At 41.5% G+C, this 27,987-nt stretch overlaps 1 protein-coding gene and 1 long non-coding RNA gene across 7 annotated transcripts in view, besides 2 other annotated features; one reads left to right on the forward strand and one right to left on the reverse strand.

The window, feature by feature from the left end:
- Positions 1-27,987, forward strand: part of LARS2 (leucyl-tRNA synthetase 2, mitochondrial) — a 160,832-nt gene that overhangs the window by 92,983 nt on the left and 39,862 nt on the right. For all 6 annotated transcript variants that reach the window (NM_015340.4, XM_017006042.2, NM_001368263.1 and 3 more), the window contains 5 exons: positions 4,134-4,238; positions 7,139-7,254; positions 9,959-10,242; positions 14,717-14,815; positions 18,884-19,021. In NM_015340.4, the coding sequence (NP_056155.1) occupies positions 4,134-4,238; positions 7,139-7,254; positions 9,959-10,242; positions 14,717-14,815; positions 18,884-19,021 (742 nt within the window). The remainder of the gene's footprint in view (positions 1-4,133; positions 4,239-7,138; positions 7,255-9,958; positions 10,243-14,716; positions 14,816-18,883; positions 19,022-27,987) is intronic.
- LARS2-AS1 (LARS2 antisense RNA 1) lies at positions 1,137-27,987 on the reverse strand. Its single transcript, NR_048543.1, has 4 exons — positions 27,799-27,987; positions 25,354-25,424; positions 13,686-13,942; positions 1,137-2,473 (listed from the first exon to the last, which is right to left on the reverse strand). It is a non-coding gene; the product is annotated as an LARS2 antisense RNA 1 (long non-coding RNA).
- Positions 11,581-11,777: a silencer, noted in NCBI's record as "fragment chr3:45534631-45534827 (GRCh37/hg19 assembly coordinates)". NCBI's record gives its function as "represses an EF-1alpha promoter that drives an FKBP-Casp9 reporter gene in an ReSE screen in K562 erythroleukemia cells {active_cell/tissue: K562}" and the evidence as "EXISTENCE:reporter gene assay evidence [ECO:0000049][PMID:32094911]".
- Positions 26,366-27,232: an enhancer, noted in NCBI's record as "H3K27ac-H3K4me1 hESC enhancer chr3:45549416-45550282 (GRCh37/hg19 assembly coordinates)". NCBI's record gives its function as "activates a minimal SCP1, AML or CMV promoter by ChIP-STARR-seq in primed H9 embryonic stem cells {active_cell/tissue: H9 hESC(primed)}" and the evidence as "EXISTENCE:reporter gene assay evidence [ECO:0000049][PMID:30033119]".

Here is a 27,987-nt window from a genome sequence, read left to right on the forward strand (position 1 = left end):
TGATACCTCAGTGTAGTTTTAATTTGCATTTCCCTGATACATCTTTTCATGTGTTTATTGGCCATTTATATGTCTTCTTTGGGGAAATGTCTGTTCAGTTCTCTTGCCCCTTTTAAAAAATTCATTTTCATTTTAATTTTTAATTTTAGTTTGTCTTTTTATTATTTTAACCATTTTTTATATATTCTAGATACTAGTCTCTTATCAGATACGTAATCTACTAAGTTGTTCTCAACTTCTGAGAGTTTGTCTTCATGGTGCCCTTTGAAGCACAAGTTTTTCATTTTGATGAAATTAAGTTTGTCTGTTTTTTCTTTTGTTGCTTTTGCTTTTGGTGTTATATCTAAAACGCTATTGCCTAATAAAAGGCCACAAAGATTTATACGTATTTTATTTTCTAAGAGTTTTATAGTTTTAGATCTTACAATTGGATCTTTAATCCATTTGGAGTTAATTTTTGTATATGGCATGAAGTAAGGGTCCAACTTCATTCTTTTGCACATGGTCATGTTACTTTTTAACTCACGTTCCCACATTATCTTAAAAATCAGGCTGCTTCTGCCTCTTTATTTTCTGGCCTTCACTTAATATGCTATCAGAAAACATTTCTGTGTTTTCATGCGGGCTTCACAATTGTTTTTTAATCCATACATAATGTCCTATCAACTCAATGTACCTTAATATCCTAAGTCTTTCCCATCATGTTGAACACTGGGCTTTTTTCATGTTTGGGGCTATTATGGAGATAACTGCTGTGACCATTTATGTCCACATGGCTCTTTGCTTCATAGAATTTTCCTTAGGAGATATTCCCAAGTGTGGGGTTCTTTTGGTCAAAGGTTACAAACATTTTTCTATTTTTCTATTTTCTATTTCTATTTCTACATGGTTTCTGAGAGGGCTATATAGAGTGCCATATCCAATGATGTATGCATTTCACAGCAACTTCACAAACATTAGTGTCACCTTGCTAAAACGTTTTGCTAACTTATCAGATATAAAATGATAATACTTCAAGATCACTCTAATTTTCATCTCTTTTTAAAAACTAATTTGTTTTTTAAAGTCCAAGTGATATATGTATATTATATGAAAAGTCAAAGAGTACTAATAATAACAAGAACAATAAAAGCAGCCTCCTTAACCAAACACTTTTATTTAGGTATATGTTTCTTAGGATACAAGTTCAGTGGCTATGACAGAGGCTTAAACAGGAGTTTATTCTACCTACATGAAACTCTTGAGCATGTGTGAAAAGTCTACTTTGTGAGGTGGTTAGGGCAGTTATCCTCTGTCTTGTCTTCCTGCTCTGCCCTTCTAGAGTCCTGTCCTTCTCTGTGTTTCTAAGTTGGTCTACACTTGATCTGCGTTCCAGTGAAGTAAGAAGTGGGGAAGGGTGGGGAGAAGGGCATGCTCCTTCCCTTTGAGGCCGTGACCTAGCAGTTGCTTCTGCACATCCTCCATGGCCACACCTAGCTGCAAGGGAGGCTGAACAGTGCTTTCGTTAGCTAAACACACTAGCCATGTGTCCAACTCAACATTCTATTGCTGAGTTAGAAGAGGAAGCAGGTACAGGGGTCAACTGGTAGTCTGTGCCACCTGCTGTTTCTCTGGCATAGACATCCCTATCTGTATGTCTGTCCATGTGCCGTATATGCCTATACTGCTGTCTTTTGATTCACCAGTTCTAGATATTACCTAGTGACTTTTATTCTATAACCCCTCACCTCCCAGCCTCCTGGTAACATCATATTATAATTGCAAAATTTGCAAATACACATTTCTTCTTTGAGAAAAGATAGTGTGGAGGCCAGGTGCAATGGCTCATGTTTGTAATCCCAGCACTTTGGGAGGCTGAGACAGGCAGATCATCTGAGGTCAGGAGTTCGAGACCAGCCTGGCCAACATGGTGAAACCCCATCTCTACTAAAAATACAAAAATTAGTTGGGTGTGGTGGCATGTGCCTGTAATCCCAGCTACTTGGGTGGCTGAAGCACCAGAATTGCTTGAACCTGGGAGGCAGAGGTTGCAGTGAGCTGAGATCACACCACTGTACTCTAGCCTGGGTGACAGAGTGGGACCCTGTCTCAAAAAAAAAGAAAAGAAAAGATAGTATGGAATCAGAAATATGGGTCTCTACTTTGAGAAGTGAGTCTGCACTCAGCCAGCTGCAGCAACAGGTGTCTCCCAGCTAACACATCTGTACCATGGCTGCTGGCTGGAGACCCATTGGGGCTGCATTTCACTGTTTCCCTACCATATCTCATTCTGTGCTTCCTGACACCCAAGGTGATAAAAGATAAGAGCTGGCTTAGATGCCTATAGAATCTGTCACTACTCTTTGAGATATAGACCCTGGCCAGGCACAGTGGTTCTCACCTGTAATTCCAGCACTTCGGGAGGCCAAAATGATAGGATTGTGTGAGCCCAGTAGTTCGAGACCAGCCTGGGCAACATAGGGACATCCTGGCTCTACAAAAAATTAAAAAAAAAAAAAATTAGCTGGGTTTGGTGGTACATACCTGCAGTTCCAGCTACTCAGGAAGCTGAGGTGGGAGGATCAGGGTGAAACCCTATTTCTAAATAAATAAATATCTTAAAAATAATTTAAAAAATAAATATAGATTTAATTCTTAGGCTTATTTTAATTTTGGGGTTTGCAAAGTAGATAATTACATGAAATCTTAAAACATGGCAAGTATTATAAATAGTAAGAATTCATAAGTTATAACTGTTAATTGCTTATATTGTAAATTAAGTCAAGTGAACTCACTAATTGTCTACCATCTCTCATCTCTTCTTCCACTGGGACTTTACTTAGGTCATTATGCTTCCAGCTCTCCATATAGTCACATATATGCACGTATGGCTTGTCTCCTTGTTACAGTAGTTGTAATACACTTCATTTAAGATGATACAGTGTTAGCTGGGTACAGTGGCTCCTGCCTGTAATCCCAGCGCTTTGGGAGTCTGAGGTGGGAGTATCACTTGAGACCTGGAATTTTAGACCAGCCTGGGTGACATAGCAAGACCCCTGTCTCTACAAAAAAAAAAAAAAAAAAAAAAAAAAAATATATATATATATATATTTAAAATAAGATGTTATTTTAAATAACAATACAATGTAATAGAATTATTGTATTGTAACATAATACAATAATACAATGTTAGAATAAATCCAAATTAAGTGTTTTATTAGGGCCACATAAATATTGTTCAACTGAGCCAAATACATTTTCCTTTTTATATAACTTTTTATTTTTCCTAGAGTTCATAATGTCTTCCTTTTTTTTTCATTTACTTTGTATTCTTTGAATTTCTGGCTAAGTCTTCCTGTACACCCCCCATATTTCTTTGAAACTCCTCTCAGTGCAGTTTTCTGCACGTTCCAACCTGCCAGGTAATCTATCCATTTCCTTATTTTCCCAAAGATGCTTCCCAGGGCACTGTGTACTGCTCAGATCTGACCTGGTCATTCTCCAGGCCTCTGCTGCAACCTGGCCTATTAGAACTTCCCTCTGTCTTTGTTCTGTGAGTGTCCTCATACTTTTTTCTTTGTTGGATCCCTTGTTTCCTGGATCCTATGTCTGTCTCTTTCTTGATTTACCCCTTCATTTTGCTGGAACACATTCTGTAGTATCCCCTAAGAAAAGGGTAAGTGGGTAGGAACTCTTTTGTCTTAGGATGTCTGGAAATGTCTTCCCTTCTTTCTGCTCAGTCATTTTCTACTCCCTCTCCACTTCCATCTTCAAGTGTTATGATGGTTTGGAATTTCTGATGTCCCTGGTTTCACTACAGATGGACTTTGTGTTTCTCATCTTCTGTATATTTGAGGTATTTTTCAAAAGGAAAAGACAGTGAAGGGAATGTCATTACTCCACATCTGGAAAGCAAAAATGTTTTTTCACTTTTCATGAGCATGGAAGAACATTTTTTCATGTGCGTATTTAATCTTTTGATTATTCACTGGTGTGAATTATCTATTAATACCCTTCAAAGGACAACTTATTTAACAATTAGCAGAAAGCACAGAAGTTCTAGTGCTTACTTTTCTCACTTGTTTCCTCTGAGATTCAGATGGTGTTGGTGTCTCAGTTGAGTGGCATCCACAGTTATTTGCTCTCATTTTCAGATTGCCTCACGCCTGTAATGGCTGTGAACATGCTTACCCAGCAGGAGGTCCCTGTCGTTATTTTGGCCAAAGCTGACTTGGAAGGCTCTCTGGATTCAAAAATAGGTAAGCAGCTATTAAAATGTAACCACAACGGTATATTTTGCAGATTTAGAATCAAAATACTCCCCTGTTGCTGTCATCTGGAAGAGCTGACTATAGATTCCATGGTCTGATTTGCCTCCTCATAAAAATGAATAACCCTTCATTTAATCATCCCTTGTTTCAGAACTACATTTTGAAAATATACTAGGTATATTGTACTTTGCTCGTTGCTACTGAGAATAAGAAGTATCTGACCTACAAATCTTGCCAGTAGAGTTTGTTGTTAAGACTTGTACATATGATACGAGGAACAATGCAACTCAGATGAAAATCCAATTTCAAGACTCATAGAACCATCCCAGGTATACTACCAGCTTTAAAAAAAAAAGGAAGAAAAGAAAACTCATAGAACCAACAGCAACTGCTGGGACGGGGGTTCAAATGAAGCACAAATGATAGATGTGGGCTGGGTTTTGGTGAAGGCTTTGTGGAGGAGGCGAACTCGAGCTATTCAAGAAAAGGATTGTGAAACAGCAGTAAAATTGAAGGCATATTTAGAACTGTAAATTGGATGTCCTTGGCAGCCTTACTCATTCGTGAGCATTCTAAACTATCGTCATGTAACAGGAAGTCTGAGAATGAACAAAGAGAAGGGAACCTAAAGACAGCTCTGTCCAAAATCTGCCTCCTTTAGGACAGACCTGTGCATTTTTCATTCCAACATTCCTACTGTAGATTCCAGCCAGTCCCCAGAGTCCCGAAACCTTGCAGAGAAAGTTATTTCCACACTATTTCCTAGCACACAGAAATAGCATTTCTTCTTAAATTCACATTTTTCCCCTCATAACGCTCAGATCAGTGTTTCATGAAGTTGTTTGAAGAAACGTCAAAGCAGAAAATCGATGTTACTCTCTTCTAACCATTTAAACCTAGAAAATGTGTTGTTTAAAGAAATAATTCCTTCTGTTACTTTTATGCATTTTACAATTAGTAAAATTTATTAATATAACCAGCCGGGATAAACATAAAGGCAGTTTTTATTGATGTGGCTTTTGGGGGAGTTTTTTGTTTGTTTGTTTGTTTGATATTTTGAATCATTACTGACACAATATTGAGAGTTTTGAAGGAAAAAAATCGGATTTTTTTAGGTGCATATGGAAAACTGTTTCTCCTGTTGTCTTGATTTCCCATAGTTTCTTAATTAACTTTTTCCAAATTTTTGCTTTTTGCCCTCCAAGAAGAACAAGAGCAGAAATAAACAGGAGATAAAGTGGTGTTTTTGCCTCCCACCTGCACTGTTAGAAATAGTTCACATTCAACTGAGCACAACATGACTACCACCATGGCCTGAGGCATTCTTTATACGGCCAAATACATTCTGTGGTTACAGTGTCTCCTTTTAAACATTACTCCTGGTTCTTCCAAATTCTATTTTAGAATGTAGTAAATGACTATTTTCCTTTCTTGACTATGAACACCTTTTGGTAGTATATTTATTGCTTGCCATTTGTCCTCAACCTTCAACTCCACTCAACATTTATTCAACGCATTAGATGCATTTTGTCTATAATCTCAGCTAGAACACTACAAAACTTTCCATCATGTCACAGAGCTTTTCATCATGTTTGGGACCTTTAGAACATGTCTCCCAAACATTCAACCACTGTTTTAGGGCATTGTTCCGAGATCTGACTTAAGCACCTTGTGTAATACCCTTAGCTTTATATCTCTCAGTTTTCACACAATGTGTTGTATCCATGAGTATGTCAGCAGCTTTTACAGATGACCCTATAGCAGGGGTTCTCAACCAGGGGAGATTTTGCCACCAAGAGACATTTGGCAATTTTGGAAACATTTTTGTTTGTCACAACTCAGGGAGTGCTATTGGTACAGTTCAACATCCTGCAATGCAAAAGACAGCCCCCGCAACAAAGTCCACAATGTCAGTAGTACCAAGGTTGAGAAATCCTGCCCTTACAAAACCAAAGAGCTGGGGGGAAAAGAAAAAAAAACCCATTCTTATGAATACCCGAAGCCAAAACAGCAGGCCTTGGCCCCCCTGGGTGAGTGATTTATTAATGCTCAACTTCTCCTCAAGGACATATGTGAGTTAAAGAATAAATGTCTACTTAGAATGTACTATTGCCTTTGGGAACAAAACATAGTTACCAGTTTTTGACTTCCTGACTGAGTGGATTTTTCTAGGACTGCTAGGAAATGCTGGAGGAGTCAGCCCCGCTTCTTGAGAGAACCCCACTGCCCTCTGCCACTGAGGGAATTCAAGAAAGAGGCTTCCACAAATGCTTATAATTTTTAGTGGCAAAAAAAAGCACTCAAAAATGTATATATTAGGATTGTAACTATTAAAAAAAAATAGGCTGGACACAGTGGCTCACACCTGTAATCCCAGCACTTTGGGAGGGTGAGGTGGGCGATCACTTGAGGTCAGGAGTTTGAGACCAGTCTGGTCAACATGGCGAAACCCCTTTTCTACTAAAAATACAAAAATTAGCCAGGCATGGTAGCGCACGCCTGTTATCCCAGCTACTCAGGAGGCTGAGATATGAGAATCACTTGAACCCGGGAGGCTGAAGTTGCAGTGAGCCGAGATCGTGCCACTGCACTCTAACCTGGGCAACAGAGCAAGACTCTGTCTCAAAACAAAAACAAAAACAAAAACTAAGCAGAGGAAAAAGACTTAAAGGAAGTAATACCAATATGGTAAACTAGTTGTGTTTTGGCAGTGGGTTTCTCCAAGACCGTGTTCCATTTTCCCAACTAATGTGATGTGGTTTTAAAACTTCTATAACTAAAAGAGATAGTCTCCTTTAAGAAGCTAAACCTGGGTGTCAGTACTGTCAGTTGTTTTGTGATTTGGGCACTTGTGAAGGAAATGTTTTCTTTTCTTCTCCTCTGAATAGGAATTCCCAGTACTAGCTCAGAGGACACCATCTTAGCCCAAACCCTGGGCCTGGCCTACTCTGAAGTCATTGAAACTTTGCCAGATGGCACAGAGAGACTGAGCAGCTCTGCTGAGGTTGGTGACTAAGAACTTACTTCCAGAATGATCACCTTGATACGACTTTGATAGACATTTTCCTTCAGGTGCAAATTACAACCTGTTCCTTCACTCGTCCCCATACCTAACAGCCTTGTGGCCTCATATCTATCAGAACAAAATAATATTCTTCAAGATCTAGAAGTTTGCCAATTGTAAATCAAATTCAGTCCTTGAATAGAATGGTATCGAAGTAACTAATTTTGTGTTGGTAATCTCTGCTTGAGAAAAATTATCTTTTCTAAGGAATCTCTGGTTCCTTGGGAGAGGTGACTGAAATTGTTTCTTTTTCCTAGAGGAGATATCTGTTCTCTCCAGATTACTGACATTATTTCTGCCTAAAGTGTAACTCACTTATAGAAATGAACAGGGAAGTTCAGAGTCATGTTTATTTGGTCAGGGTTATCTCTTGCTAGCATGAAACAGCAGCACTTAAAGATGGTACATCTGGCAGGATTTGAGCCCAGCCTCTATGTTGAACTAACCTGGAAAGTAGGATGGAAGAGGTAGGGTGAGGGATGGGAGCAGGTAGTGGGAGCAGTGATTCTCAAACTTGAGCACACATCAGAGTCCCCTGGTGGCCTTGTTAAATCACAGCCTGGCCCCCACCCCCACCCCAGGGATACTGATTTAGTAGTCCCAGGTGAGACCCCAAAATTTACACTTCTAACGAGTTTCCAGATACTGCTGCTAATGCTGCTGGTCCAGGGAACACATTTTGAGAATCAAGGGCTTAGAACCTTGCCACTTAATGTCTGGTCCCTGGACCAGCAGTACTGGCATCACGTGTCTTAGATCCCACCCTAGTCTAATAAGATCCCTATATGATTTGTATGCACATTAGAAGTTTGAGAATACTGGCTTAGAGCACTCTTAAACTTAACTGCACATTGGAAACACCTGAGAGTTTTAAAATAATACTGATGCCTGGGTCTCACTCCAGATACTCCGATTTGATGGTTATTGGTGGTGAGGGGGGCATGGATCAGACATCAATAGTGTTCAGAGCTCCCTAGTTGATTCTGATGTGCAGCAGAGTCTGGGAACTACTGACTTAACATAGTGATGCCACACCTGGCCATGGCTCTGAATCACCTGGGAGGTGCTTACAGGTCCCATCTTGGCTGATCTTGATTCAGTGAGACCTGAAGATCCAAGTTTTTCAGGTTTGTGACTATCTGGCTATATTTATATCTATAGAATAAAGGAATAATGGTCAGGTTTTCTCCTTTGTAAGGAGTCCATGTTTTATAACCCCATGTTTGTGGCTTTACTTCATAAACTGCATCCCCAGACATGAGTCATGCTCTAAGATATGGACCCTTAGGCCTTTTTTTAGACCTTGTTTGAGCAGGTTTCCTGGAGGTAGAGCAGAGCGAAATCACAGTGTCTGTAAGGAGCCCCAGTTAACCCTCTACAGGGCAAGAAAGGGGACACTTGTGGCCAAAATTAGGCTTCTGAAGTGCCTAGTGAAGCATCCACTCTTTAGTACAGTACTCTGAGCATTAATTATGCTTCCTGGCTTCTTTCACACAGCTTCAGATGGTCTGTTGAAGCCTCTCCTGGCTCTAGGCTGAATATCTAGAGTAAAATAATTATTTCAATAAGTAGAAGGAGAATGGCTGGGGAAAAGCCGCTTTCATCTATGAGCTTCTGGAATGGAAAGACAGTGGTGTTAGGAGAAGACTGACTTTCAGGAGAGCTTTTTATGATTTGCATCACGACTGTGATAATGGGAGTGCAGAAAGACACTTCAGACCATTCATGAAAAGGGCTGCTTTTGATAAACATAGCTGTATTTTCTTATTCTTTATGCCTCTTGACTGTAAGCTCCTTGAGGACATGGGAAGATCATATTTATCTTTGTGGCCCCAATGGCTAGCACGAGCCCAGCACGTATAGATGCCCAGTGGGTCTTCACTGAACAAATGCGAGGGTACCCGCAATCCAGGTTGTTACCAAGCCACACTGGCTCAATTCATATAATTAGTTTGGCTCTCTGAAAAGCACCAAGTGAAAAGATAATTTCTCTTTTGTACTGTTAGTGGTCTGTCCTGCTGTCTATAAAACGGGAGCATTTAAATATAAAAAGAGTGGTCTGGTTCTTCAAGCCGAAGCCTCAGAATGTTCCTCTGCTTGCCTGAATTCCTTCTGCTTTAGGATAATATTGGATTTTTCTTTTCTGAATATTTTCCCCCCAACAGGGGAGTAGTCATTAAAAATCCATATCGTGCAGTTCTGTACTGGCAGCTAAAAGCTGATATTTGATGATCTCTGTAGGTGTCACAGGGCTCTGGTGATAAAGCAAGCCACAGAACCAGGGCCAACTTAGACACATTAGACACAGTAGACACAGTGCCTAGGGCCCACAATACTTTTAGAGGCCTCTGCAAAAGTTTTAATTTCTTTTAAAATCAGAAGAAAAAAATGAACTTTTAGGGTCAAAAGTTATATTTGTCTTTATATTGATGCAGTTGTAAAATATAATTTTTAATATTATCTGAAGGAGCAAGGAGCCTACAAAGGCAGAAGCACCTAGGGCTCATGAAAGTTATGACACAGCTCTGCACAGAACTGGTCCCTTGGGAGAGCCACACATAAACATGGCAGGACTGGTGGCAGCATCAGGGTGGTGACTGGTGCTATGCGGAGAGGAGTGAGCTTTCTTTTCTTTCCCTGTCAGTTCACAGGTATGACCCGGCAGGATGCTTTTCTAGCCCTGACTCAGAAAGCCCGGGGGAAGAGAGTGGGTGGAGACGTGACAAGTGATAAACTGAAAGACTGGCTGATTTCACGGCAGCGGTACTGGGGCACACCAATCCCCATTGTCCACTGCCCAGTCTGTGGCCCCACACCTGTGCCCCTGGAGGACTTGCCTGTGACCCTGCCCAACATCGCGTCTTTCACTGGCAAGGGAGGCCCCCCACTGGCCATGGCTTCAGAGTGGGTGAACTGCTCCTGCCCAAGGTAAGGAGCCACATCCCTGCAGTGGTGACTGTGCCTATGGCCCCATACCTGCTAGGGCTTCAGACAGCCTCCTCCCTCCTGGTGCTAACTCTGCTCCCTTTTTCCCTGACTTCCATGAGGCTGGAAAGAACACTGTGGGTCTTTGGGGCCCTTTAAGAGAAGGGTCTGGAATCTGTGGCCCTGCCTCTGCAATGGGCATCCTCCCTTCTCTGAGCTGTTGGAAGCAGCAGTGTCAGTTCAGATCTATCCCAGAAACATCTGATCCAACTGATGGAAAAGCTCTAAATTTTCCTTACAGCTTTGTAAAAAACCACTTTCCTCCATTTTGATATTCCAAAGAGCCACGTGGAGAGGGGAGAAAATGTTCTCTTCTCCACCTTGCAGTTTTCCAATATAGTGACTGTAACAACAGTGGAGATTTTATCATGAGTAGCAGAGTAGTTGCTAAGAGAGCAAGTGTGCTCAGGGCTGCATTCTTTAATATGCTGAAGCACCATGGTTCCTTTCTCCTCATTTTGGAAGTGGGATTATGTTTTTCTGTCTATTCACTGGCATGTCTCAAGCATGATTTTTAATGATGCTGTCCATATCAGCTAATTAAACAAATAGCAGATACCAAGTTCCAGTATTTTCCTTCTTCTGCGGAGAAGCCATTTTTCTCTGCCTTATAGATCATGATGAGGATATTATAAAATAATTTTGTATTCTGCCAGTATAGAGCTGAGTTACTAGGTTGACAATTAGGTAACCACGTAGTGTAATTGGAAGTCTTGAGCTGGGTGTCAAATCAGTGATGGATTCAAGTCCTGGCTCTGCCTCCTAACTAACTGTCTAGCCTTGGGAAAGTCATTTACCTTCTCTGAGCGTGAAATCCCTCATCAGGAACAAAAATAACCCCATTGAAGGGCTTTTCAGAAGACTAGAATTAACACATGTGATCCTGCACAGTGATACCTTCTAGGCCTTCAATAAATAGAAACTTTATGGCCATCCAGCCAGGGACTTGCCAGCCATCCTCCCAGGTCCTCACTGAGGCAGTTTTGAAATTCAAGGTGGAACTTGGAGGGAGGTATATAGGAAGGCCCAGACCATTTTAGGGTAGAAATGTTGGCTCCAGGAGGAAAATAGCACACCCTCTTTGTTGATAAGCGCTGACAAAGGGCTTCCCTACCAGAGATGTTGGTGGCCTGCATACAGCACAGCAGTTGTGGCCTTATTGATGAGGATAAGGTTTCCTGCTTGGCTGCAGAATTACTGGAGGGCAGAACCTAGGCCTTGGTGTTGGGCAAGGCTCCCTGGATGATCTTTTTTTTTTTTGAGATGGAGTCTCGCTCTGTCGCCCAGGCTGGAGTGCGGTGGTGCAATCTCGGCTCACTGCCAGCTCCACCTCCCGCGTTCACACCATTATCCTGCCTCAGCCTCCCGAGTAGCTGGGACTACAGGTGCCCGCCACCAAGCCCGGCTAATTTTTTGTATTTTTAGTAGAGATGGGGTTTCACCGTGTTAGCCAGGATGATCTCCATCTCCTGACCTCGTGTTCTGCCCGCCTAGGCCTCCCAAAGTGCTGGGATTACAGGCGTGTGCCACCACGCCCAGCCCCTGGATGATCTTAATGAGCATCCAAGGCTGAGAGCTACTGAGCCAGTGTGGCCGAGCAAGGCAGCCCAGTGGTACAGACTACAGGCACCAGAGCCCACCAGATGTGGATTCCTTACCCTTGAACTACAAGACCTTGGACAAGGTTCTTAACCTCTCTGAATCCTAGTTACTCATCTGAAAAATGGGGATATGAGCAGTATCGGTCTCATAATCCCCAGGGCTACTGGGGATTAAATGAGATAATACTTCTGCGGTACTTGGCTCAGTTCCTACTACCCAGTATTATTATTATTACTATTGGAGCTAATCCTGATAACATTATCACCATTATCTATCACTTCTATCCCTCCTGCTTGCCACGTAGCTTCTTCCTTATCATCTAGTTTTTAGTATCAGCAATAAAACATGTTAGTTGCCTTCAAGTCCAACAAGACCATTAAAAAGGAAATCAGCATGGCAAATGTTAGCCAGCTGTTATTCCTTTTATAAATTGAGCCCGCATTTTCTCCCTCACTTGGACCTCACTTGCACAAGGTAAGTGAGGAAGATGAAGTAATCTTTATTTTCTAATTATTTCCCAAAGTAGTGTCTGTGTTCTGGTTGATTGCTCTCCAAATAAAAAGACCTGGCTTCAATTTAGAGGCGCACTGTTGAGATCAGCTTCTTAGAGCAGCCCTGGGTGGTAGGAAGCTGGGTTCCCCGAGGGCTCTCTCTGAAAAGCTTCTACTCTTAGAGACCACCACTGTTCTCATTGGGAGGTCCCCTGATTAAAATGCAGGGGGTCCCAAAGCCCTGCCAGATCTAGGGCGCCCATGCTCTCTGCTCAGCCACTGCATTTAACCAGCTGACGAGGGAGCTGGAGGACTATGTGGGGGACTGGCCATTTCCTTGGGTAATATTTGTAAAGCTGGTATGAACTACTTCACAAATGGAAGACAGAAATACAACCCTTCTTTTATTCTTAAATTAAAAATACACTCAAGCCCATACATGCTAAATTAGCAGAAGATTTATCAGTTCCTCTTGGGATTCCTCATCCCTTCTCCCCAAATTCTCCAATAACACCCAAAGACTTACACTGCCCAAAGCGCAATATTTGGAGGGGCGATGAGCTTCACATCCATGCCTTAGAAGGGAGAGCCTGCTATGGCTTCCCACTGCCACAGAAGGCCCTGTTGATAGCTGGTCCTACCCATCAGACAGAAGGTGCTGGTTCTCTGCTGATCCAGGCCTTGAGGAGTCTCCAAGGCAGCTAATCCCCGTCCTGTGCTAGGCTTGACTAAGGGCACCTTCTTTTGAGTTCCTAGGTAGTGTGGCTTTTGGCACCTGGTTCCTTCAGTCCCACAGGCCCACAACTCTAGGAATGTTCTTAAGAATGAGTGTAGCAGCTGGGCATGATGGCTCATGCCTGTGATCCCAGCACTTTGGGAGGCTGAGGCAGGCGGATCACTTGAGGTCAAGAGTTCGAGACCAGCCTGGCCAACATGGTGAAACCCTATCTCTACTAAAAATACAAAAATTAGCCGGGCATCATGGCATGCACCTGTAATCCCAGTTACTCAGGAGGCTGAGGCAGGAGAATTGCTTGAGCCTAGGAGGCAGAGGTTGCAGTGAGCTGAGATCGAGCCACTGCACTCCAGCCCAGGTGACAGAGCCAGACTCCATCTCAAAATAAAAATAATGAGTGTAACACTTGGGCCCTTGTGAGACCTTGGTCCTGCTGGACATGTCTGTCCCTAGGACAGGGATTCCTTTTTCTATGCAACCCTTCACATATCAAGGATCTCACTTTATTCTCTGTCTTGAACACCAGGGCTTTCTTCACTCTTCCATAAGGAACCTACCTTTAGGCAGTGGTCTCATGGTAGATATGTAATTAGCTTTGGAGGGGGGTCCTGATTTCTAGCATTTGCCAATTTCCGTGATGTACATACTCCCATCAGGGCCAGTTTCAAGCTACCAACTTGCCATCTTTTGTCACAGTGTTGTGAAGAGATGCCCCAATTGATTCTTACAGGCTGGCATGAGCTGGAGCAACCATTGCCTTTGGGGCTTCCAAGTTGGTTTGTCTTCCTCGAGTCATCCTGGTAGATTTCTGCACCTGTCACCCCAGAACAGAAGTAGAAGAAAAATCCAAGTTGATTTTCCACACATCTCCCTATATTTGGTTCTCATTTGTCTTCATGCATTGATTGGCTTCATAAGCATCATAAAGTAGGCATTGGCGAAGGCAATCTTGACATGCCTGGAACAGAAGTTAAGGCACAAAAGAGATACCTAATCCTGTCTTGTCCTTTTGGATGGTGAGGCTTTCTACCAGGTTAAATTCAGAGAAGTGGAAAATAAGGCTTTTAATTGTTGAAAATTGAAACTTTTATTTGTAAATAAATTTCTTTAAAACATCGCATACTATACAATATAAAAAGAGAGCTTTCCCTGAATTGTCTTTTCATATGTGGCTTTATTCTTTTTTTTTTTTGAGACAGAGTCTTGCTATGTCACCAGGGTGGAGTGCAATGGCACGATCTTGGCTCACTGCAACCTCCACCTCCCGGGTTCAAGCCATTCTCCTACCTCAGCCTCCCAAGTAGCTGGGACTACAGGCACACGCCACGACGCCCAGCTAATTGTTCGTATTTTTAGTAGAGATGGGGTTTCACCATGTTGGCCAGTATGGTCTCGATCTTTTGACCTCGTGATCCACCCACCTCAGCCTCCCAAAGTGCTGGGATTACAAGCGTGAGCCACCACACCCAGCCTGTGGCTTTATTCTTATGACATTTTAAATTCATACTTATAGCTCTCTCAAAAGCTGATGGAAAACTGCATTAAAATTTAAAAAGAAACCAATTGATGAATTTCATTTCTTTCTTAGGTGCAAGGGAGCAGCCAAGAGAGAGACAGACACGATGGATACCTTTGTTGATTCTGCTTGGTACTACTTCAGATACACTGACCCTCATAATCCACACAGGTAAAACGTCCCTGCTGATGTCTTTGAGCATTTGTCAGTGTGGCTCCTCCTAGAAGCAAAGACCAAGATGGAATTAGACATGCAAGAGATTTCTTGGGGGGAAATGCCTGTGCAGATTAAAGGGGAGAAGAGGAGGAGTGGGCAGAGAGTGCTCTTAGACCACGATGGAGCTGTGACAGGTGTGAAAGGAGAAGGGAAAGGAAGGAGGATCAGGTGGAGGAGCCTCAGCCCACAGCACAACTCTGAGAAAGCCTCGACCTGGCCAGTGGGAAGGCCCAAGCAAAGCTTGTCCATTAGAGTCTTACAGTCAGGCTAAAATGGCTCTGCTCCAGCCCCTCCCTCTACTCTCCTGGGAGCAGCCTGGGAGAGCAACATGGGCTGGCAGGAACACACCAGAGTGGGTCCACAGATGCAGCAGCTGGAAGCTGTCAGTCAACTGTGCACCTCGGAACAGGCTCTCTTAAAGGGAGAGTGCTACATCATTAAGTTAGATTATTCACAGCCAAGTAAATCCCAAGTACAACACAAATACAAAACGGAAAAAGAAGGAAATGCTACTGTGATACCCTCCTTGCAGTGAACTGCATTTGTATGATTGTAAAGATGTAATGTTATTTATTTAACTGAAAAGAATAATGTAACTCTACAGAGAAGGTAGCAGGTAGGGAGGGTGAGACCGCTAAGAAGCCTCACCTCTTACTACATAGTAGATCATTTCCTAAATTGATAAATCAATAAAGAGTATAAACATGTTTTTTTTTTTCAATAATTGCTGGGAGAAACAACCAAAAGAATTAAAAGTGGCTAAGAGACAGGCCTGAGGCAAGGAAAGAATTGGGGCTGGAGACCACTGTTTTTCATTGTAAATCTTTCAGTACCATTTTGATTTTTAAGCTGTATTCATGTGTTTATTTGAACCCCGCCCCCCCCAAAAAAAGAAACAAATTAAGGAAAAGAGAGCAGTAGGTAGCCTTATAAAGAGAGAGAATGAGAACCGAAAGAAACTCTTCCAGAGCCCAGGAAAAAACACAGCATTGTGCTTAAAAGGGCCTTGCCTAATTGCTCTTGTCCATGGCAGAAACATTCTGGAACCCTGTTGCCTACATATAAAATATGCCTCCCTATTCTTCGTGGTTCTAAAATAATATCTTTCTAGTGAGACAGATACTCCTGCCCTCACCCTGCCAGAATTTCAACCTGCAGTGTTGTGATTCTGTAATTTGAGTTCATATCAGATATAAGGGGGATCCTTGTCAGGCATGGTGGCTCACGCCTGTAATTCCAGCGCTTTGGGAGGCCGAGGCAGGCTGATCACCTGAGGTCAGGAGTTGGAGACCAGCCTGACTAACATGGCAAAACCCCAACTCTACCAAAAATACAAAAATTAGCTGGACACGGTGGCACGCACCTGTAATCCCAGCTACTCAGGAGTCTGAGACAGGAGAATCGCTTGAACCCGGGAGGCAGAGGTTGCAGTGAGCTGAGCTCGTGCCACTGCACTCCAGCCTGGGCAACAAAGTGAGACTTCCTCTCAAAAAAAAAAAAAGAAAAAAAAGAAATGAGGGGGATCCTGAGTGAAAGACACCCTGCAAAGGCAGGAAGGGTGCAAGGTGACGACTGTGGCTGGGAACCACCAGCATGGCCTTCTCTGGCCCACAGAGGGGCTCCCCTTCAGGGCCTTCCCTCTATAAGGGGCCATTGGTGCATTTCATGTAGTAACAACTGGCTTAGAATGCAAGTGAGGTCAGGCTCTTTCCTTTCTCAGAGTGCTTCAAAGGAAAGCCTTCACACAGATGAGAGAGACCTCAAGTTACCGTGGCGGGAGAGACATCCTGAGACCGTCACAGCCCCCAGTTTGTGAACAGCAGTGAGCACTTCATTTCCCTCATGACACACTGTAGTTAGCTTCAGCCCCAGCACGAGTTCTTCCTGGGGTGGTTTCCTGAGTGGATCATAAATCTGAGCTGTAGCTACTTTCAACATTTCACTCCTTAATATATCCCAAACTTGTTTTCCGGCCAAATACCATCCTTCACTTTCCTTTCTTTTCTGTCGCCTGGATTGGCAGTTGAATTTCTTTAGGGAACTGTTTTTCACGAAGAAAAAAAGTGTTTTTTAAAAATTTTATCAGAATTCTGGTACAGTGACTGGAGAACACCAAACTATATTAAGATGCAAATATGTGGTGGTAGCCAGGCTCTTTTTTCTAGCCTCAAAGCTGAAGCCAGCCAAGTCTATCCTGGGGAAAAAGGTGGCTTGAGGTGTCAGGGAACCAATTCACAAATATTCGAAGTCCTCCAAAGGCAAAGGTTTGCTTGATTGGCTGACCTCAAGGGACGGCATTACCTTGGCAACACAGAGGTCTGTCGCCAGCCAGTGCTGCCCCTCCCACCGAAGGTCCCAGCCAGAAAATGGAAATGACATTTCCTTTCCTCTCCAGTGTCCTTTAGGACCCAAGAGTATGAGAAAGCCTTTCTATTAGTATCTGTTAGGTGAGAGTTATTGGGCTATTATATGACAAGTCACCTTAAATATGTTGCATCGCATTCAGTAAGCAATATACAGTCTCTAGCTGAGTATATTTTCAGACTGCTTTAAAAAATAAAATCAAATTTCTATTTTAAAATAAACATTTACAGCTGGGGCACAGTGGCTCACATGTGTAATCCCATAACTTGGGGAGGCCGAGGCAGGAAGATGACTTGAGGCCAGGAGTTCAAGACCAGCTGGACTGAACGTAGCAAGACCTCGTCTCCATAAAAAATGTTTTAAAAAAATTAACTGATGGCCAGGTGCAGTGGCTCACACCTGTAGTCCCAGCACTTTGGGAGGCCGAGTTAGGCAGATCACCTGAGGTCAGAAGTTCAAGATCAGCCTGACCAACATGGCAAAACCCCATCTCTACTAAAAATATAAAAATTAGCCTGGTGTGGTGTCAGGCATCTGTAATCCCAGCTACTCAGGAGGCTGAGGCACAAGAATAGCTTGAACCCTGGAGGCGGAGGTTGCAGTGAGCCGAGATCACGCCCCTGCAACCGAGCCTGGGTGACAGAGCGAGACTCCGTCTCAAAAAGAAAATTAAAAAAAAAAAAGAAAAAATTAGCTGGGCAGAGTGGTGTGTGTCTGTAGTCCTAGATACTTGGGAGGTTGAGGCTGGAAGATCGCTTGAGCCCAGGAGTTGGAGGCTGCAGTGAACTATGATTGTGCCACTGCGCTCCAGCGTGGGTGACCAAGCAAGACCCAAACTTTAATAAAGAAAAAAAAATGTTTTTTAATGTGAAAATAAATTAATAAATAAACATTTAGTATCTGCATGTTAATCTTCATTGTAAATACCACATTGCCCTCTATTGGTAGGAACTCTGACATCTCAATTGTGTAATCATAATAATAAAAATTAAAGTGAATCTAGATATTCAAGGTGCATTGTAGCAAGATGCCTTTTTTTGCTGGTATGTTTTCCTTTTGTCCTCATTTTATATGCAAATTGCTTTTGTTGAAATATGTCAGTAATATCTTCTGTAACCATTTTTATAATTTCATAAATTAACACTTACCTGACTTTTTTCTTTTTTATTATATAAGCTTTTCTCATATATATATTTTTGTTTGTTTGTTTGTTTGTTTGTTTGTCTGTTTTGTTTTTGAGACAGAGTCTCACCCTGTTGCCCAGGCTGGAGTGCAATGGCACGATCTTGGCTCACTGCAACCTCTGCCTCCCGGGTTCAAGTGGTTCTCCTGCCTCAGCCTCCTGAGTAGTTGGGATTACAGGTGCCCACCACTACAACTGGCTAATTTTTGTATTTTTAGTAGAGATGGGGTTTCGCCATGTTGGGCAGGCTGGTCTCGAACTCCTGACCTCAGGTGAGCCACCTGCCTCGGCCTCCCAAACTGCTGGGATGACAGGCATGAGCCACCGCGCCCGGCCTTCTCTTATATTTTAAAAAAATCATTGTTATTCCCTGATACGGTTCATTTCAGGGCATATGCATATTACAATAGGCCTGTTTAATTTACACAATTGTGGCAAAGCAGGTTTTTAAAAATGCCTCCATCTCTTTTTTACAGCCCTTTTAACACAGCAGTGGCCGATTACTGGATGCCTGTGGATTTGTACATTGGAGGGAAAGAACATGCCGTCATGCACTTGTTCTATGCAAGATTCTTTAGTCATTTTTGCCATGATCAAAAAATGGTTAAACATAGGTAAGCACTTATACTGCTTTGCAAAATAATTGAGTTCCATGAATAGCAACTTTAAGCAGGTGTCAGTTCTTCTGAAGCAAGGTAAATGCATGTAGTAGAATACTAGTTTTCTAGTATGCTTTAGAGGTTGTCAACCTTAATCATTTGAGGTCCATTTATATTGCGTAGTCAGTTCTGGCATGTGATGTTGCATGCTTGCATAGAACCTAGCCTTCAGTGCTTCTCTGTTTAACTGAGTTAAGTAATTAAGAATTGTACCTGTGAGGCAGAGAGGAGTGGCCCATAGTGTTTTATAGCATCTCATGTGAGGTCATGCTTATCACCCAGTCCTTCCATGTCAGCTCTTGTTCCTAAGCTTGGCTGAATCCCACCTTGATGCATCCCTCTAAAAAATGTATAGAGTGGATTTGAAATAGAGAATCACATTGTAAAAACATCAGTAAATTCTTTTCCTGTTGGCCTATTGTAACCCTTTCCTCATAATGTTCAGAAAAATGTGTGTGTACTTTTCCCCATGAAACGTATCATATATAAAAATTACATATTTAATGTATTTAAAGAATGGTACAACACATTAAATATGGAATTTTTATATATGAACATACATGCCCCACTCCTCAGTTTAAGAAACAGAGTATTTCAGGTACCTTAGAATCCCCAAGGTGCCCCCTCCAATTGTGTATCGCTCTTCTACGCCCACCACCTCGCCCCTAGCTAATACCGATCCCAGATTTTTAATTCCTCACTTTCTTGCTTTTCTTTATAAATGTATCGTTTCTGCATGTATTTTTAAACTATATATTGTCTGGTTTTCCTGTGTTTGAACTTTACATAGGTAGAATTATATTTCAGGTATTCTGTCTTGCTTTCCTCACTCAACAGTTTTTTGAGATTCAGCAGTGCTGACGGATGAAGTTATATTTCATTCCTGTTTCACTGCTGCGTGATATTCCATTATATGGAATGAAACTTCCAAAATAGAACTCAGTTTATGTATCATACCACCATTAATGGTGGTTGGACTGTTTTGTGCAATTATGAACAAAACTGCTATGAACCTTCTTGCACGTGGTTCCTGACATATGCGTCACCATTTCTTTAAAATGTGTACCTAAGAGTAGAATTGCTCGATTGTAGGATACGCACGTGTTCAACTGTCTTGAGAAACACCAAACTGTTTTCCATAGTGATTACCTAAGCCTATACTCCCACTAGTAGAAATGAGGGATCCGATCACTCTACGTCGTCATCAACATTTTGTACTATCCAACTTTTAAATTTCACCAAACCAGTGGGTATATAATGGGTCACGTTGTGAGTTAAATTTGAATTTCAAGACACCGATTTTTTTTTAATTTTTTAATTTTTAATTTTTGCAGGTACATAGTAGGTGTATATTTATGGGGTACATGAGATATTTTGGTATGGGCATGCAATGCATAGTAATCACATCATGGAAAGTTGGGTATCCATTCCTTCAAGCATTTATCCTTTGTGTTACAAACAATCCAATTATACTCTTTTAGTTATTTTTAAATGTTTAATTAAGTTATTGTTGACTATAGTTGATTTCTTAATGAAGTTTATCATGTTTCATAGGTTTATGAATCTCTGTGATCAAATCCCTGTTTGTATCCTATGCTTTTATTTTTTCTAGATCGTTTCTCTTTTATTGATTTGTAAGGGGTTCTTTAAATATTCTTGATACTAATCCTTTTTCAGCTATATGTATTGCAAGTAGTTTTTTCTAGTTCTTGGCTTGTCTTGTTTTTATGGCATCTTTTGATGAACAGAAACTCTTAATGTAGTAAAAATTAATAATCTTTCCTTTATGGCTACTGCTTTCGGTGTGTCAGTACTGTTAATGGAATAGTCCATCCTTTTCCCCACTGATCTGTAGTGCCCTCTCCATCATAAATCAAGTTGTCATATATCCCAGGGCTTATTGATAGGATCTTTATTCTGGGACTACAGGCGCCCACCAGCACGCCCAGCTAATTTTTGTATTTTTAGTAGAGATGGAGTTTCACCATGATGGGCAGGCTGGTCTCAAACTTCTGACCTCAAGTAATCCGCCTGCCTCGGCCTCCCGAAGTGCTGGGATTACAGGCATGAGCCACTGTGCCCAGCCAATTTCTTTATAGCTATCTTCCAGTTTCTAATTGTCTCTCTGTCTCTATCTGCTGATTAACCCATTCTTTGAGTTTTTTTATTTTAATTATTCTTCATTTCTAGAAGTTCTAGGTTTTTAAATTTTCCTTTATGATTTTTGTAGTATTTTCATGGTATCTTTTAAGACTTTATTTTCTAAAATAGATTAAACATACTATTTTATATTATCTGATAATTCTTTATCTAATGTCATTATGGGTCTGTTTAGTCATTTGTTGTTTCTGCTGTTCTCACTCATGATGCCTAGTTCTTTGGGGGATGGGGTGCAAGGGGTGTTTTAACTGACCTTATATTTCTTGAACCCTTTTTTTTTTGTAGGAACTCTTTGGAACCTCTCTGCTAGAGGTGATTTTGTGTTAGCTTCTCCCTGTTGCCTGGAGATGCTACCAATCCAAGATCACTTTAAACTGAATTTTCTGCTTGAGGTTTTTAGGACCATATAGGTAATACGAATACAGTCCCAAACCCACATGAGGGTCAACTTCTGTCTACAGATTCTCAGGAGAAATACTTTTCTTTCCTCCTATACATCACCATGGTCAAGATAGGCAAGTTTCCTTGTTTGTCTCTTCTAACCACAGGTTTATTTCTAGTTCATTGATGATTTCTGGTTCAGTGACGATTCCTGCCTTGTTTGAGATCTTCTTCTAGACTCCCAAGGTTGCTTAGGCTTTAGGTTTGGTGTCCCATCTTTTGTGTACCATGCCATGCACAAACATTTATGATCACAGGGGTTCTATAGCTATGCCCAGGGTGGAAGCTGGCTTCAGTAACTGTGTTTTCCTAAGTTGGGTTTGGTTTGGTTTTGCCAGCTCAAATGTATTTTATACTCCAACTGACTTTTTCACTTGTTTTTCATCAGGACAATAATTCAGGCTCTCTTGTCTGCTGTATTACCAGAAGCATAATTGCTGGATTTTTTTTTTCAGTTGTTGTTATGTTGTTTTTCTGTTTGTTTGTTTACTACAACATCCTTTAGAATATTTTTTAATTACAGAGAAGGAAAGGGGGGAAATATCTGATTATTTCCCTATCCAGATAACCCATGTTGACAATTTAAAAAAAAGTAATACATGTCTAAACCATTTTGTAACTACACAGAAAGTGAACATTGTTGTCTCCCTCCCTGCACGCCACTCTTTAGCCCTTTCCTCGACTTTTAGGTTTCTTTTTATTTCTGCCAGGAAAATATTTTGCCTATCCCCACGTGTGTTTTTATTGATATAGTCATTTTAAATGTTGCTTATATTGCATACATGTCCTTTGCTTCTTTGACCTAATAATGTAGCTTGGTGGTCTTTCCATATCAGCACAAACAGATATCACATTCTTTTTAATGTAGGCATAGTATTCCCTCATATGGATATACCATAATTTATGTAAGCGGTCACCTATTCTTCCAATTACTATTTTTTTTTAAGTCCAGTGATCCTCTTTATTATACGCTTAGCAAATAATTGGGAGCATATATGTAGGCTCAAGTCCTAACACTGGGGAATTCTGGGTCAAAAAATATGTGTCTTTAAAATTTTGATAGATAGAAAAATATTACTTTTAAAACTTTTGAAATGCAGACAGAAACCCATTTTCATTACAATGAAGCACATTGAAAGCTCCTTCCCTTCACTTAACCCTCGGACCAGATGGCCGACTCTGCACATGCATGCATGGATTAAAAGAAGTCTACTGTACAGAAAATTAATTTAGGGTCTAAATTAAATGCTTAAAATAAATTTATTCTCATCAGCCCCAGAGACCTTCATGTATGAAAATAAACTGGTCTGCATCAGAAGGACACTAAAAACATTAACAGCATTACTCCTCACATAAACAAATTTGTTAAAGTGTTTGTACTTTAGGTTCTAGAATTTGCCAGTTCTGCTTTGCATTTCTTATGTCTGGAAACTAATTTACCTAACTAGATAAAGATTGTCATTGATAATGGGAATTGTGTCCTGTTACTGTCATGGTCTCACAGATACTACACATTTTTAGTGTTTTTTTTGTTTTGTTTTGTTTGTTTTTTTTTTTAAGAAATTGAGTTTAGGTTGGATGTGATGGCTCACACCTGTAATCCCAGCACTTTGGGAGGCCAAGGCGGGTGGATTGCTTGAGGTCAGGAGTTCGAGACCAGCCTGGCCAACATGGTGAAACCCCATCTCTACTAAAAATACAAGAATTAGCCGAGCATGGTGGCATGCGCCTGTAGCCCCCAGCTACTAGGGAGGCTGAGGCACGAGAATTGCTTGAACCTGGGAGGCGGAGGCTGCAGTGAGCCAAGATCGTGCCACTGCACTCCAGCTTGGGTGACAGAACAAGACTCTGTCTAAAAATTAAAAAAAAAAGCAAAGAAAAGAAAAAGAAATTGAGTTTAATCCCTTGAAACAAACAGATAAAAGTTTATATTCTTCAGAGGAAATGTTCTCCAGTTCATGCAGTTGTGCACACCTATGTTCTTAGCTACTCCAGAAGCTGAGATTGAGGCTGAGGCGGGAAGATTACTTGAGCCCAGGAGCTTGATTCCAGCCTGGGCAACATAGGAATACCCTGTTTCTAAAACAAAACAAGAAACAAAGGAAATATCCTCCATGGGCTAGAGAGAATTGATTCAAACTTAAGTTAAAAACCAAATACAACTTGAGAAACATCTCAGGCCAGGCGTGGTGGTTCATGCTTATAATCCCAGCACTTTGGGAGACCAAGGTGGAAGGATCACTTTAGGCCATGAGTTTGAGACCAGCCTAGGCAACGTAGTGAGACTCCATCTGTTAAAAAAAAAAAAAAAATTAATGAGCCAGGTGTGGTGGTGCACACTTGTAGTCCCAGCTACTTGGGAGTCTGAGGCAGCAGAATTACTTGAGTCCAGGAGTTCAAGGCTGCAGTGAGCCATGATTGCCACTGCACGCTAGCCTATGCAACAAAGTAAGACACTGCCTACAAAAAAAAGTTGGGGGAATAGCTCCTTCTTATGTAGGTCTGGAAACAAAGACCATATGTAAGTGATTTCTAGCTCCTTAACAGTAGAGCATATTTCTGCCAGTTTCTGAATGATTTTTTATGGAAGTATTCAATCAGTAAATTATTCAATGGCCAAGTATCCTAAGGTATAGGACAGGGTCTGACTATTTTTATGACTTATTTACAATAGTTTAAGACTATATTCAAGCAGGAAAAAGGGTTTGCTGCATGCTGATGTAATTTTAAAATGCAGTTTCAAATATGACTTTGTTTTCACTCAAATGCATTGCCAATTTGCAGATCCTCCAGGTAACACTTGGATTTTGCTTTACCATCAACATTAAGGAACAACTATATGGTGTAAATTGAAATAGACCTATGGAGTTTTGTTTTTTTGAATCTGTTTTTAAATTCTGTTCAAGATTCCGTTCCATGCTTTCCTCCTCCAAAAGAGACTTATTTTAATTACTGAAAAGGCTGACCTTTGAGGAAGGTACAGAAAGTCATCTTAACTGTTACTCAGTGCTGCTGTCAGCATTACTCTTGTTGGATCACATCAGGGCAGCAACAGCCTCTGAAAACTCTCCCGGTGCATTACCTCTTTCTTAGAGGTGTATTGGTAAACCAGTCAGCCACACATGAAATGAAAATCACCCACTTTCTGAGATGAGTAATTTGGAATTCTACAGTCAGAATTTTTGAGAGCCTCCAAACAACTTTATCAAGCTGGGCTGGGAGGAAAAATTGAGACCTGTCAACCACATGTGTATTTCTGAAATCTGTATAAATCAGGATTTCCTAGTCTAGTTCTGTATTCCTTTTGATTAGCATTGTAATTTCAGGAGGCTATTTGAGATGATAGTACAGCTATTCCATTTTAGTTTAACATTTCTGAGCCCCTCAGCCCTTGTCTCAAGTAGCAGCTGTGAAACAGGAATCCAAAGACCTCTGTCCATGTTCAGTGGTGCCCCTGATTAGCTGTGTGGACAAGAAGCTGAACTCCTTTGGGTCTCAGTGGCCTCATATGTTAGGAACTCAGTTATCTCTGAGCACTCTTTTCACTCTGATTCTAATTTCTTCAAATACAGACAGCAAAGGTTTATGTATATCTAATCATCTTTCCTGTTTTGTAAGAGTTGTGGACATTTTTTTTCATCACCTGCACAGTTAGGCTTGCAGTTTGTACTTTAAGGTCTCCTTACCTTACGTAAGAGGCTGGCCTCCAAGTTAAGTGTGCCACCACACAGGACAGCAGGTGCCTTAGTTGTGTGATCTGAAATACCAAGTTAATGATTAACCGGGAATTAATGTAAGCAGGAAACCCACAAAAGAAGATATCCAAATGATTAATAAACATTTTATCACACTATAAAATAATAAACATCTTACACTGTAAAATGTTTCCGTCCCAGCACGATGGCTCACACCTGTAATCCCAACACTTTGGGATTGCAAGACAGGAAGATCATTTGAGTGCAGGGGTTCGAGACCAGCCTGGGCAACACAGCAAGACCCCATTTCTATGATTTTAAAAAAAAAAATTTCCCTCACTGGCAAATATAAATTATTCAGCAGTGAGATGCCATCTTCCATGTAGTAAGGAAGCTAGCATAAGAGCAGCTCTCATATATTGCAGGAAGTAGCTTGGAACAATCTTTCTGAAAAGCAGTTTGGCAATACATAGTGAGAGCCTTAAAACTATTCATTTTTGGGTGCACTAATTGCACTGCTAAAAATCTATCCTAAGGAAATAATCAGAAATGCAAACTTATGCACCAAGATGTTCATGTAAGTGTTATTTCAAGTAGCTAAAAATTTGGATACAATCTAAATGCCCCAAAATGCTGAGACAGGGTAAATAAAGTATAATCCATCTACGTGGAGCACACTTATACAACACTTTCAATTAAATTACAAAGAATGTTTAATAACATGGAGAAATTCATCTGAAGTAATGAGAAATAGAAAAAGCAAGATACAGCTTGGTTATCTTTGTCTTTATATATACAAGCACATATATACACATACTCAAAGCAAGAGAAAAGACTTGAAAAACTCATGCCAACATGTTAACACTAGCTATCTCTGGGTGGTGAGCCCAATATACTTCTGATTTTTTCCAGATTTTTTACAATGATTGTGTAACTTTATCATTTACAGTATGGTATATATTCCAAAGAAGGAAAATATGCTGAGCCTCCTGCTGTGGTTGTGGGTGTGGGGTAGGATCAGCTTTCAGCTTCCCTCCTTCCGGTGGTTAGCACCAGGTTGAAAGAGAGGGGGCACATTAGAGCGTGGGAACATGTCATGGCCCATCTTCACTGAATGAGATCAGGAAGCCTTTTCTCTCCCTTTGTGGGAGACCGCTGTAAACATGGAATCTTGTCACTTTTTGTTGTAGCTCTGTAATGCAACTTAGACACTAAATTCCCCAAACTGAATTTCTCCCTTCAGTTTGGAATCAACAGAAAGTGGTGGCTGTCAGAAGCAAGCAGCTGCTCAGGGAGCTCCCATGAGAAGGGCAGGCCGCCTGCTGACCGTGGAGAGCACAGCAAGCCCCTATCCACAGAGCTTTCTTCTCTGTTACTCTGATCATGCCAGAAACGGGGCTACTGGGAAAAGGAACAGGAAGGGAAGAGAAGCTTTACTTGGGTCCTGCTGTATTAGTAAACCCTCCTTCTGCGCCACTAACTGGCTGCTAGGAAATGGGAATGGTGATATTTCAAGAATGAGCCATGGCTAATACTTAGAAACTAGGCTAATTATGTGACATGATGGCCCTGGGCACAGAACAAGGAAGAAGAGGAAGGTAAACTTAGTCTGATTTAATGAAAAGTCCAATTTGGAGACCATTTTCAGAGATCTATGGCCTTCAAAGATCTGCAGCCTGGCAGGCCACTCTCGCACCAGGTCAGGGGAGTGGGCAGCAGGCTCTCTGGGGCTTCATGAATAGGTAAATGTCATCTGCAGCAAGAAGGTGGGGCTCTGATACATCCTGATATTCTTTGCTCATACTGTAATTAGCACATTCCTTGTATATAGTGATTTTTTTAAGAGCACTTAACATGGCCAATCAATCAATGTTCTGAATTTCCTTGTTTATCCTAATAATTAGCAACTCCCTTCCTTCCCTCCCTTCCTCCCTCTCCTCCCTCCCTACCTTTCCTCCCCTCTTTCCCTGCCTCCCTCCCTTCCTTCTTTCCTTCTTCCAAGTGGGACAAATGTGGCCTTCAATGCCCAGCAGCTATCAGTTGTTGCAATTTCTGAGTTAGTGCAGTCTAAACTAATGAAGAAATTGTGAAGATCTCCCCCCAGTTTTCATCACTGTGCTTACATATAGCTGTGCTTCAGTGCAAGCAAGCATGATCTACCTCCAGGGATGTACCGAAGGAGTAGGAAGAAAGCTGACTCAGAAATCCAGGGCCTTCTTCAAGGCAGAGGCCCTGCCTAATACTCCCGCGTTTGATGGTCCCTGAGTCAGAACGGTTTGTTAGTGGTTTAGAGTTGCAGATTTTCCACTCACTTATAAAGGCCCCTGCTGTGCACAGTCACTATGATGAATGAATAACTCAGTTGCATACGCAAGTCTGTTCCCAAGTACCATCTGTTGAGTGAATGAATGAGTGAACAAAAGGGAAACACATTACCCCAATTGTGAATCTGAATAATGAACTTGGCAATGTGATGTGATCTCTGCTCCAGCAGGCCTGGGTTCCAAGTCCAGCAGGGCCCTTGATGTCCTTTGTCCTTCATTCCTGTGCACCTTGCGCCTCCAAATCACATTTGGTACGTCTTTCTTGTAGTGCTGATGGTTATTTATGAGCATGTCCTGGGCT

This window comes from Homo sapiens, chromosome 3 (assembly GCF_000001405.40).
Source record: "Homo sapiens chromosome 3, GRCh38.p14 Primary Assembly".
Classification (NCBI taxonomy): domain Eukaryota; kingdom Metazoa; phylum Chordata; class Mammalia; order Primates; family Hominidae; genus Homo; species Homo sapiens.